This window comes from Homo sapiens, chromosome 20 (assembly GCF_000001405.40).
Source record: "Homo sapiens chromosome 20, GRCh38.p14 Primary Assembly".
Lineage (NCBI taxonomy): Eukaryota > Metazoa > Chordata > Mammalia > Primates > Hominidae > Homo > Homo sapiens.
This window is the reverse complement of record NC_000020.11, coordinates 31,216,376-31,230,386: the sequence shown is the minus strand read 5'-3', so window position 1 is coordinate 31,230,386 and position 14,011 is coordinate 31,216,376.

The following is a 14,011-nucleotide window of genomic DNA, read 5'->3' as shown; positions in this document are numbered from 1 at the left end:
GCATTCCATTCCATTCACTTTTCTTCCATTATATTAGAGTCTGTTCCATTCCATTCCCTTCCATTCCCTTCCTTTACATTCGAGTGCATTCCATTCCATTCATTCCATTACAGTCAATCCCATTCTATTCCATTCCATTCGGTTAAATTCCATTCCATTGCATTCCGTTCCATTCCATTATATTCCATTCCATTCCATTCCACTCCATTCCATTCGTTCCCTTCCTTTTGATTCCATTCCATTCCATTCCCTTCCATTCCATTCTATTCCATTCAATTCCATTGCAGTATATTGGATTCCATTGAACTCGATTCCATTCCATTCTATTCCATTCCTTTCGATTGCATTATATTCAATTCCATTCCACTCCATTCCGTTCCATTCCATTCCATTCCATTCCATTCCATTCCATTCCATTAAATTGCATTTCACTTGGTTCCATTCTATTCGATTCCATTCTATTCAATTTGATTGCAGTCCATTCTATTCCATTCCATTCATTTCCATTCCATTCGTGTCCATTCAATTACATACCATTCCATTTGAGTCTAATCCATTCCAGTCCATTACATTCTAGTCCATTGCATTCCATTCCATTCCATTCCAGTCCATTCCAATCCCTTCCATTCCATTTGATTCCACTCCACTCGTTTCCATTGCCTTCCATTCCATTCCATTGCATTCCAATCCATTCGATGCAATTCCTTTGCATTCCATTCCATTATATTCCAATCCATTGCTTTGCCTTTGATTGGTTTGATTGCATACGATTCCATTCCTTTCGAGACCGTTCCATTCCATTCCATGACATTTGATTCCTTTCCTTTGGCTTCCATTCCATTCAATTCCATTCCATTAAATTCCATTTCATTCGATTCCATTCCATTCGATTCCATTCCATTCCAATCCATTCTATTCGATTCCATTCCATTTCATTCCATTCCATTTGATTGCATTCCTTTCGAGTCCATTCTTTTGACTCCATTTCATTCCAGTCCATTCAAGTTCATTCCATTCCATTCCATTCGATTCCATTCCATTCGATTCCATTCCATTTGATTGCATTCCTTTCGAGTCCATTCTTTAGACTACATTCCATTCCAATCCATTCCACTCCAGATCATTCCATTCGATTCTATTTCATTCCAATCCACTCCATTCTATTAATTTCGAGATCTTTCCATTCCACTCCATTCGATTCCAGTCCATTCTATTCCATTGGAATTCACACGACTCCATTCCAGTTGATTCCATTCCATTCGATTCCATCCCATTCAATTCCATTCCATTCGATTGCTTTCTGTTCGATTGCATTCCATTCAAATCCATTCCAATCGTGTCCATTTCTTTCGAGTTCATTCCATTCGAGTCCATTCCATTTGAGTCCATTCCATTTCATTCTATTTCATTCCGTTCCATTCCATTCCTGTTGATTCCATTCCATTCACTTCGAGTACATTCCATTCGATTCCATTCCATTGCAGTCCATTCCATTCCATTCCAGTGTAATACATTCTATTTCATTCCATTCCATTCGATTCCATTCCGTACGATTCCATTCCTTTCAATTCCTTCCCATTTAATTCCATTCCACTCAATAGCATTACATTCGAGACCATTCCTTTTGAATCTATTCCATTCGAGTCCATTCCATTCAAATCCGTTCCATTCAAGTCCATTCCTTTTATATTGATTCGATTCCAGTCCTTTCCATACTCGTACATTCCATTACATTTGATTTGATTCGATTCCATTCCATTCCAGTTCCTTCCATTCCTTTCCATTCCAGTCGATTCCATTCCATTCGATTCCATTCCATTTGAGTCAATTCTATTTGAGTACATTGCATTTGAGTCTTTTCCACTCTAGTTCTTTACGTTTGAGTCCATTCCATTCCATTCCATCCCATTCCATTGCATTCCATTCCATCCCAATCTATTCCATTTGATTCCATTCCTTTCGATTCCATTCCTATCCATTAGAATCCATTCCATTCAATTACAATCCATTCGAGTCCATTCCATTCCAGTCTCTGCATTCCATTCCATTGTATTCGATTCCACTCCGATTGATTCCATTCTATTCAATTCTATTCCATTGGATCCCATTCCATTCCATTCCGTTCTATTCAATTCCATTCCATTCGAACCCATTCCGTTCGATTCCATTCCATTCAATTCGTATCACTTCCATTCGATTTCATTCTATTCTATTCCATTCCATTCGATTCCATTCCTTTCAAATCTATCCCATTCAAGTCGATATCATTCCTGTCCATTCCATTTTAGTCCATTCTATTCCGTTCCATATCATTCCTGTAAATTCCTTTTGATTACATTCCATTCGATTTCTTTCTATTCAATTCCATTCCATTCGATTGCATTCTATTCGAGTCCTTTCCAGTCGAATCCATTCCATTCGAGTCCATTCCATTACAGTCCATTCAATTCCATTCCATTGCATTCCGTTCGTTTCCATTGCATTCCATTTGATTACATTCCATTTGAGTCAATTCCATTCAACTCCATTCCATTCCAGTCCTTTATATTATAGTACATTCCATTCCATTCCATTCCATTCCATTCCAATCGAGTCTATTCCATTCATGTCAATTCCTTTCGACTGCATTCCATTAGAGTCCATTCCATTCTATTCCATCCTATTTGATTCCATTCCACACTACAGCATTCCATTCGAGACCATTCCATTTGAATCCATTCCTTTCGAGTCCCTTGCATTTGAATCATTTACATTCAAGTCCATTCCGTTCAAGTGTTTTCTATTCCAGTCTTTCATTCGTGTCCATTCCATTCCATTCAATTCGATTCCATTCCATTCCATTAAATACCATTCCGTTCCACTCCATTACCTTCTATGCCATTCCATTCAATCCCATTCCCTTCCATTCAATTCCATTCCATTCGATTCCATTCCATTCGATTTCATTCCATTTGAGTCCATTACTTTCGAGTTCATTCCATTCGAGTCCTTTCCATTCCAGGCTTTTACATTCAAGTCCATTCCATTCGAGTCCATTCCATTCGAGTTCTTACCATTCCAGCCCTTTACATTCGAGTCCATTCCATTCCATTTCATTCCAGTCCATTCCATCCCATTCCATTCCACTTGATTCCATTCCGTTCGATACTATTCCATTCCATTCGAATCCATTCCATTCGATTCAATTCCTTTCGATTACATTCTATTCCATTCCATTCCATTCCATTCGATTCCATTGCATTTTATTCCTTTCCATTTGATTCTATTCTATTCAATTCCATTCCATTCGATTTCATTCTATTGCATTCCATTCGATTTTATTCAACTCCATTCCATTCAAGTACATTCCATTCGAGTGCTTATCATTCCAGTCCATTCCATTCGAGTCCACTTCATTCCGTTCCATTCAATTTTCGTCCATAGCATTCTACTCCATTCCATTCATTTCCATTGCATTCAATTGCATTCCTTTCGAGTCCATTCCATTCGAGTCCACTCCTTTCGAATCAATTCCATTAGAGTCAATTCCATTCAATTCCATTCCATTCCTATTTGATTCTATTCCACTCCATTCCATTCCATTCCATTCCATTGCATTCCATTTGAGTCAATTCCATTCAAGTCAATTACATTGCAGTCCTTTACATTCGAATACATTCCATTCCATTCCACTGCATTCTGTTCCATTCCATTGAAGTCCATTCCATTCGACTACATTCCTTTTGACTCATTTCCTTTACAGTCCTTTCCTTTGATTCCATCCAACTTGATTCCATTCCACACGATAGCATTCCTTTTGAGACCACTCCATTTGAATCCATTCCATTCGACTCCATTCCATGCACATCATTTCCATTTGAGTACATTCGATTCGAGTTTATTCCATTGCAGTCCTTTACATTCGAGTGCATTCCATTCCATTTGATTCCTTTCAATATGAGTCCATTCCATTCGAGTGCTTTCCATTCGAGTCCTTTCCATTCCAATCCTTTACATTTGAGTCCATTCCATTGCATTCCATTCCATTCCATTCCATTCCATTCCATTCCATTCCATTCCATCCCATTCCATCCCATTCCATTCTAATTGATTCCATTTCATTTGATTCCTTTCCATTCCATTCGTATCCGTTCTATTCGTTTCCATTCTATTTGATTGCATTCTATTCAAGTCTATTCCATTCCAGTCCATTGCATTCAATTCCATTGCATTCGATTTCTTTTCATTTAATTCCATTTTTTTTGAGTCCATTACGTTCGAGTCCATGTTATTCCAGTCCATTCCTTTTGAGTCCATTCCATTTCATTCCGTATCATTCCATTCCATTCCATTCCATTATATTCGAATCCATTCCATTTGATTCCATTCTATTCGAGTCCATTCCATTGTAGTACAATCCTTTCTATTCCATTCCATTACAGTCCATTCCATTCCATTCCTTTCCATTCCATTCCTTTCCATTCCATTCCATTTGATTGCGTTCCATTCGAGTCAATTCCATTCCAGTCCACTCCATTCCAGTCCTTAACATTCGAGTTCATTCCATTCCATTACATTACATTCCTTTCCAACTCCACTGGAGTCCATTCCATTCGAGTCCATTCCTTTCGAATCCATTCTATTACAGTGCAGTCCATTTGATTCTATCCCATTTGATTCCATTACACTGTATAGCATTCCATTCAATACCATTCGATTTGAATCCATTCCATTCTAGTCCACTGCATTAAAATCCTTTCCATTCAAGTCCATTCCATTCAAGTCCATTCCATTCCAGTCCTTTACATTCGAGTACATTCCATTCCATTCAATTCTATTCCATTCCATTCCATTCCATTCCATGCCATTACATTAGATCCCTTTCCATTCCCTTCCTTTCCATTCCATTCCATTCCAGTCGGTTCCATTCTATTCGATTCCATGCCATTCGATTCCTCAAATGGACGCATTTGAGTCCATTCCATTCGATTCCATTCCATTTGAGTCCTTTCCATTCCAGCCCTTTACATTCGAGTCCATTGCATTACAGTCCATTCCATTCCATTCCATTCCTTTCCATTCATTTCCATTCCACTTTATTCAATTTCATTCCATTCAAGTCAATTCCACTTAAGTCCATTTCATTCCCTTCCTTATATTCGAGTATATTCTATTCGATTCCTTTCCATTCACTTCCGTTCCATTTGAGTCCACTCCATTCGAGTCCATTCCTTTTGAGTCCATTCAGTTACAGTCCATTCCATTGAATTCCATCCTATTTGATTCCATTCCACACGATAGCATTCCTTTCGAGACATTTCGTTTGAATCCATTCCATTTGTGTTAATTCCTTTTAAATCTTTTCCATTCGAGTCCATTCCATTCAAGTCCATTGCATTCTAGTCTTTTTATTCGAGCACATTCCATTCTATTCCATTCCATTCCATTCCATTCCATTCCATTCCATTCCATTCCATTCCATTCCATTCCATTCCTTTCTATTCCAATCCTTTCCATTCCATTCAATTCCATTCAATCCCTTTCCATTCGATTCCAGTCTTTTTGATTCCACTCCAATAGTTTCCATTCCATTTGTGTCTTTACAATTCGAGTCCATTCCTTTCCAGTCCTTTACATTCGAGTCCATTCCATAGCATTCCATTCCATTCCGTTCCATTCCATTTTTTCCAATTCCATTTTTTCCCATTCCATTTGAAGCCATTCCATTCAATTTCCACCCATTCGATTCCATTCGATTCCATTCGATTCCATTCCATTCCATTCCATTCCATTCCTTTCAATTCCTTTCGAATCTAATCCATATGATTCCTTTCCTTTCCATTCCATTCCATTCCATTTCATTCCATTCTTTCCCTTTCCATTTGATTCCATTCCATTTCATGCCATTGCATTGGATTTCATTCCTTTCTATTCCATTCCATTACTTTCCTTTCCATTCCATTTGATGATATTCCATTTGATTCCGTTCAATTCCATGTGATTCAATTCCATTCCCTTCCATTCCATTCGATTCAATTTGATTCTGTTCCTTTCCATTCCATTCCATTCCATTCCATTCCATTCCATTCCATTCCATTCAAGTCCATTCCATTTGATTCCATTGCATTCCATTCCATTTCATTCGATTCAATTTCATTCGAAACCGTTCCATTCCAGTCTTTTCCACTGGAGTCCATTCCATTCCATTCCATTCCATTCCATTCCATTCCATTCCATTCCTTTCCATTCCATTCCATTCCACTCGGGTTGATTCCATTCCATTTGATTCTTTCCTATTCAATTCCATTAAATTCGATTCGATTCCATTCCATTCCATTCCATTCATACCCCTTCAATTCGATTCCATTTCATTCGATTCGAATACCTTACATAAGTTTCCATTCCATTGGATTCCATTCCTTTTGATTCCATTCCTTTCGAGTACAAAACTTTTGAGTCTATATCATTCCAGTCCATTCCATTCGAGTCCAATCAATTCCTTTGCTTTCCATTCCAGTCCATTCCATTGGATTCGATAGCTTTCCATTCGGGTTGATTCCATTCACATCCATTACATTCCACTCCTATACATTCAAGTACATTCCATTTTATTCCATTCAATTCCACTCCTATACATTCGAGTATATTCCATTTTATGCCATTCCATTCCATTCCATTGTGTTCAATTCCATTCGAGTCCATTCTTTTCTAGTCCATTTTTTTGAGTCCCTTCAATTACAGTCCATTTCATTTATATTCCATTGCATTTGATTCTATTCCACTCTATAGCATTCCTTTCAAGACCATTCCATTTGAATCCACTGCATTCGGGCCCATTCCGTTCGAATCCTTTCCATTCGAGTCCATTCCATTCAAGTCCATTCCATTCCAGTACTTTACATTGGAGTACAATCCATTCCGTTCGATTCCATTGCATTTCATTCCATTCCATTCAATTCTATTCCATTCCATTACATTCTATTCTATCGCATTCCATTTGATTCCATTCCATTTGATTTCATTCCATTCAAGTCGATTCCATTCCTTTCCATTGCTTTTGATTCTATTCCATGTGATTCCATTCCATTCCACTCGATTCAATATCATTCCCTTCCATTCCATTCCATTCCATTCCATTCGACTCAATTCCCTTCCATGCCATTTCATTCCTTTCCATTCAAGTCCATTCCTTTTGATTTCATTCCATTCGATTCCATTCCATTCGACTCTTTTACATTTGAAACCGTTCTAGTCCTTTCCATTCCATTCGATTCATTTCCATTCCAGTGTTTTTCGTTTGATTCCTTTGCATTCAATTCCAATCCATTTGATTCCTTTCTATTCAATTCCATTCCATTTGATTGCATTCCATTGCATACCATTCCATTCGATTCCATTCCATCCGAACACATTACATTCGTTTTCATTCCATTCGATTCCATTCCATTCAATTCCATTCCTATTTAGTCCATTTCATTCGACTCCATATCATTAAAGTCCATTGAATTCGAGTCCATTCCGTTGCAATCGAGTCCATTTCATTCCATTTCTTTCGAGTGCATTCCATTCATTTCAAGTCAATTCCATTCCATTGCTTTCGAGTCCACTCAATACCATTCCATTCCTTTCGAGTCCATTCCATTGCATTCCATTCCATTTGAGTCCACTACATTCCATTCCATTCCATTCCATTCCATTCCATTCCATTCCATTCAAGTCCATTTCACTCCATTACGTTCCATTCCACTCGAGTCCATTCCATTCCATTTGTGTCCATTCCATTCCATTCCATTCGAGTCCATTCCATTGCATTCCACTCGTGTCCATTCCATTCATTTCCATTCGAGTCAATTCCATTCCATTCCATTCTGTTCCATTAGTGTCCATTCCTTTCATTTTGAGTCCATTCCCTTCCATTCCATTCGAGTCTATTCCATTCTATTCCATTTGAGTGCATTCCATTCCATTCCAGTAGGATCCTTACCTTTAAGTTGCATTTTATTAAATTCGAGTCCATTCCATTCCATTCCGTTCCTTTCATGTTCATTCAATTCCATTCATTTCCATTCCATACTATTCATTTGAAATCCGTTCCTTTCCATTCCATTCTATTCCATTCAAGCCCATTCCATTCCATAACATTCCACTCCATTTGAGTCCATACGATTCTATTCCATTCCATTCCATTCCAATTGGGTCCAATCCTTTCCATTCCATTCGAGTCCACTCCATTCCATTTGAGTCCATTCAATTCCATGCCATTCCACTCGAGTAATTTCCATTCCATTCCATTCCATTCTAGTCCGTTGTTTTCCTTTGGAGTCCATTCCATTCCATTCCATTCCATTAGAGTCCATTCCATTCCATTCTATTCCATTCCATTCCATTCTTTTAAAGTCCATTTATTTCCATTCCATACGATTTGAGTCCATTCGTATACAGTCCATTCCATTGTATTCCATTCGAGTCCATTCCATTCCACTCGAATCCCTTTCATTTCATTACATTACATTACATTCGAGTCCGTTCCATAGCATAACACTCTGTTTGACGTGAGTCCATTCAATTCCATTCTATTTCATTCAAATCCAGTCTACTCTATTCTATTCGAGTCCATTCCATTTCATTCCATTCCAGTCGCATCCATTCCATTCCATTCCATTCCATTCCATTCGAGTCCATTGCATTCCTTTCCATTCTTGTCCATTCCATTCCATTCGAGTCCATTCCATTCCATTTTATTCGAGTCAATTCCATTCCATTCCCTTCTATTAAATTGAAGTAAATTCCATTCCATTGCACTCCATTCCATTCCAGTGCATTCCACTCCATTCCATTCCATTCGTGTCCATTCCATTCGAGCATATTCCATTCCATTCTATTTAATTCGAGTCCATTCCATTCGATTCAATTCATTCAAGTCCATTCCATTCCATTCCACTTGATTCCATTCCATTCGAGTCCATTCAATTACATTAAATTCCTTTTGACTCAATTCCATTCCATTCACGTCAATTCCTTTCCATTTCATTCGAGTCCGTTCCATTCCATTCCATTCTATTCCATTAAAGTCCATTCCTTTCCTTGCTACTCTTTTCCATTCTATTGCTTTCCATTCCATTCCATTCCATTCCATTCCGTTAAATTCCTTTCAATTCGTGTCCATTCCATTCCATTCCTTTCGAGTCCATTCCATTCCATTCTATTCTATGCGAGTACATTCCATTCCATTCCATTCCAATCCATTTCATTCGAGTCCATTCCATTCCATTCGTGTCCATAACATTCCATTCCTTTAGATTTCATTCCATTCCATGCCACCCCATTTGAGTCCATTCCTTTCCATTCCATTCCAATCCGTTCCATTCTGCTCCATTCCATTCCATTCCAATCCTTTCCATTCCATTCCTTTCTAGTTCTTTTCTTTCCTTTACATTCCATACCATTGTAGTTCATTCCATTCCGTTATGTTCCATTTCATTCTATTCAATTCAAATCCTTTCCATTCCATTTGAGTACATCCCACTCCATGCCATTCGAGTCCATTCCTTTCCATTCGAGTCCAGTCCATTCCATTGCATTCGAGTCCATTCAATTCCATGCTATTCCATTTGAATCCATTCTTTTCTATTCCATTCCATTTGAGTCCAATCCATTCAAACCCATTCAATTCCACTCCTCTCAATTCCATTCCATTCAATCCATTCCATTCCATTCCATTTCATTCCATTCCATTCCAATTCATTCGAGTCAATTGCATTCCATTCCATTCCTTTCCATTTCTTTAGAGTCCATTCAATTCAGTTGCATTTCATTAGAATGCATTCCATTCCATTCCACTCCATTCCATTCCTTTCGAGTCCGTTCCATTCCATTCCACTCCGTTTGGGTAAATTTCATTCCATTTCATTCCATTCCATTCCAGTCCATTCTTTTCCGTTATATTCCACTCCATTCATCTCCATTCAATTCTATTCCATTCCATTTTCTTCCATTCCACTCCATTTCATTTGATACCACTCATTCCCTCTCCATCCACTCCATTGTATTCCATTCGAATTCTTTCCATTCCATTCCATTCCATTCGCTTCCTTTCCATCCCATTCCAGTTCGTTCGAGTCCATCCGAGTCCATTCCATTCCATTCCATTCGAGTCCATTGCATTCCTTTCCATTCGAGTCCATTCCATTCCAACCTGTTACATTCGAGTCTTTTCCATTCCATTCCGTTTGAGTCCATTCAATTCCATCTCATTCCTTTCGAGTCTATTCCATTCCATTACATTCGAGTCCATTCCATTCTATTCCATACCAGTCCATTCCATTGCATTCCATTCTATTCCTTTCTAGTCCCTTCCATTCCATTCCATTCCATTCTTTTCGAGTCCATTCCATTCCGTTCTCGTCCATTCCATTTCTTTCCATTCGTTTCCATTCCATTCCTTTCTAGTGCAATCCATTAAAACCATTTCCACACGAGTCCATTCCATTCCATTCCATTCGAGTGCATTCAATTCCATCCAATACTATTTGAGTCCATTCCATTGCATTCCATTCCATTCCATTCCAGTCCAGTCCATTCCATTCTATTCCAATCAAGTTCACTCCATTCCATTTGAGTCCGTTCCATTTAATTCCATTCCATTCCATTCCTTTCCATTTCATTCGGTTCCATTCCTTTGGAGTCCATTCAAATAAATTGCTTTTCGTTCGAGTCCATTCCATTCCATTCCATTCGAGTCCATTCTATTCCATTGCATTCGAGTGTATTCTTTTCCATTCCACTCCATTCCGTTCCATTTGATTCCATTACATTCCATTACATTTGTGTCCATTCCACTCCAACACATTCCAGTCCATTCGAGTCCATTCAATTCCTTTCCATTCCATTCGAGTCTGTTTCTCTCCATTCCATTCGACTCGATTCCATTCCACTCCATTCCATTTGAGTGCATTCCATTCTATTCAATTCGAGTCCAGTCTATTCCATTCGAATCCTTTCCATTCTATTCCATTCGAGTCCATTCCATTCTATTCCATTATATTTTATTCGAGTCCATTACATTCAATTCCATTCTACTGGAGTCCATTCAATTCTATTCGTATCCATTCCATTCCATTCCATTCAAGTCCATTCCATTCCATTCTATTCCATTTGAATCCATTCCATTCCATTACTTTCTAGTCCATTCCACTCAAACCCATTCCATTCGAGTCCATTCCATTCCGCTCCATAAGTGTCCATTCCATTAGATTCCATTCCATTGCATGCGAGTCCATTCCATTCCTTTGAAGTTCATTCCATTCTGTTCCTTTCAAATCCTTTCCATTCCATTCCTTTCTATTCCATTCAAGTTCGTTCTATTCCATTCAAATCCATTCCATTCCTTTCCATTTCATTCGGGTCCATTCCATTCCATTCCATTGCATTCAAGTGCATTCTATTGCATTCGAGTCCATTCCATTCTATTCCACTCAAATCCATTCCATTCCTTTCCATTTAATTCGAGTCCATTCCATTCCTTTCCATTCCATTCGAGTCCATTCCATTCCATTCCATTCGAGTCGGTTCCATTCCATTCCTCTCCTTTCCATTCCATTCCATTCCATCCCATCCCATTCCATTTGGTGTCTTCCATTCCATTACATTCCAGTCCATTCTATTCCATTTGGGTCCATTCCAATCCATTCCATTTGAGTCCATTCTATTCCATTCGAGTGCATTCCATTCCATTCCATTCTAGTCTATTCCATTCCATTCAATTCCATTCGATTCCATTCCGTTATATTCCACTTCATTCGAATCAATTCGTTTCCACTCCATTAATATCCATTCCATTCCATTATATTCCATTCCACTCCATTCAGGTCCATTCCATTCCATTCCATTCCATTCGAGACCATTCCTTTCCATTGCATTTCATTAATATCCATTGTTTTCCATTCCACTCGAGTCGATTCCATTCCATTCCATTCCAATCCATTCTAGTCTATTCAATTCCATTCCATTCATTTCCATTCCTTTCGCGTCCATTCAGTTCAGTTGCATTCCATTAGAATCCATTCCATTCCATTCCATTCCATTCCATTCCATTCTTTCGATTCCATTCCATTCCATTCCACTTCATTTGAGTAAATTTCATTCCGTTCCTTTCCATTCCATTGGAGAGCATTCTATTCCATTCAATTCCATTCCATTCATCTCCATTCAATTCTATTCCATTCCATTTGATTCCATTCCACTCTATTCCATTCGAGTCCACTCCTTTCCTCACCATTCCATTTGAGTCCCTTCCATTCTATTCCATTCGAGTTCATTCCGTTCCATACCATTCCATTCCAGTCCATTCCATCCCATTCCATTACGTTCGAGTCCATTCGAGGCCATTCCTTTCGTTCCATTCGAGTCCATTCCATTCCATTCCATTAAAGTGCATTCTTTCCATTCCATTATATTCCATTCCATTCCATTCCATTCCATTCGAGTGCATTCCTTTCCATTCCAATCCATTCCATTCCATTTGATTCCTTTATATTCCATTCCATTCGTGTCCACTCCATTCCAACACATTCCAATCCATTCGAGTCCCTTCAATTCCATTCCATTCCATTCGAGTCCATTTTACTCCATTCCATTGGTGTCAATTCCATTCCATTCCATTCCATTCTACTCAATTCTAGTCTAATCTATTCCATTTGAGTCCTTTACATTCTTTTCCTTTCGAGTCCATTCCATTCCATTGCATTCCATTCTAGTCCATTCGATTCCGTTCTATTCAATTTGAAACCATTCCATTCCATTCTTTTCTAGTCCATTCCATTGAAACCCATTCCATTCGAGTCCATTCCATCCCACTCCACAAGTGTCCATTTCGTTAAATTCCATTCCGTTACATTTGAGTCCATTCCATTTATTTGAAATCCATTCCATTACTTTTTTGTCTTTTCCATTCCATTCTATTCTATTCCATTCTAGTGCATTGCATTCCAATCCATTCCATTCCATTACCTTCCTTTCCATTCCATTCCTTTCCATTCCATTCCATTCCATTCCATTCCATTCCATTCCATTCCATTCCATTCGGCTCCATTCCATTCCATTCAAGTCCATTCCATTCCATTCAAGTCCATTCCATTGCATTAGAGTCCTTTCCATTCTATTGCAGTCAAGTTCATTCCATTCCATTCGAGTCCCTTCCACTCCATTCCATTCAGTTGGAATCCATTCCATTCCATTTGAGACCAATCAATTCCCTGCAGTTCAATTAGAGTCCGTTCCATCCCATTCCATTCAATTCGGGTCCATTCCATTGCATACCTTTCCATTCATTTCGAGACCATTCAATTCCATTCCATTGTATTCGAGTCCATTCCATTCAATTCCATTCGATTCCCTTCCATTCCCTTCCATTCCATTCCATTCTTTGTGTCCATTCAATTCTATTGTATTCCATTCGTGTCCATTCCAATCCATTCCATTCCATTCCATTCCATTCAATTTGAATCCATTCCTTTCCATTCCATTACTTTCGAGTCCATTTCGTTCCGTTACATTCCATTCCATTCGAGTTCATTCCATTCCGTTACTTTCCATTCCGTTCGAGTCCATTCATTTCCATTCCATTCCATTCGAAACCATTCCCCTCCTTTCCGTTCGAGTCCAATCCATTCCATTCCATTCCATTCCATTCCATTCCATTCCATTCCATTCCATTCCGTTCGAATCCATTTGAGTCCATTCCATTCCATACAACTCCATTCCATTACATTCCATTCAAGTCCATTCTTTCCATTCCATTCCATTCCATTCCATTCCATTCCATTCCATTCGAGTGCATTCCTTTCCATTTCATACCATTTGATTCCATTACATTCCATTGCATTCGTGTCCACTCCATTCCAATACATTCCAATCCATTCGAGTCCGTTCAATTCCATTCCATTACACTAGAGTCCATTTCACTCCATTGTATTGGAGTCCATTTCTTTCCACTGCATTCCATTTGATTCCATTCCATTCCATTCAATTCCAG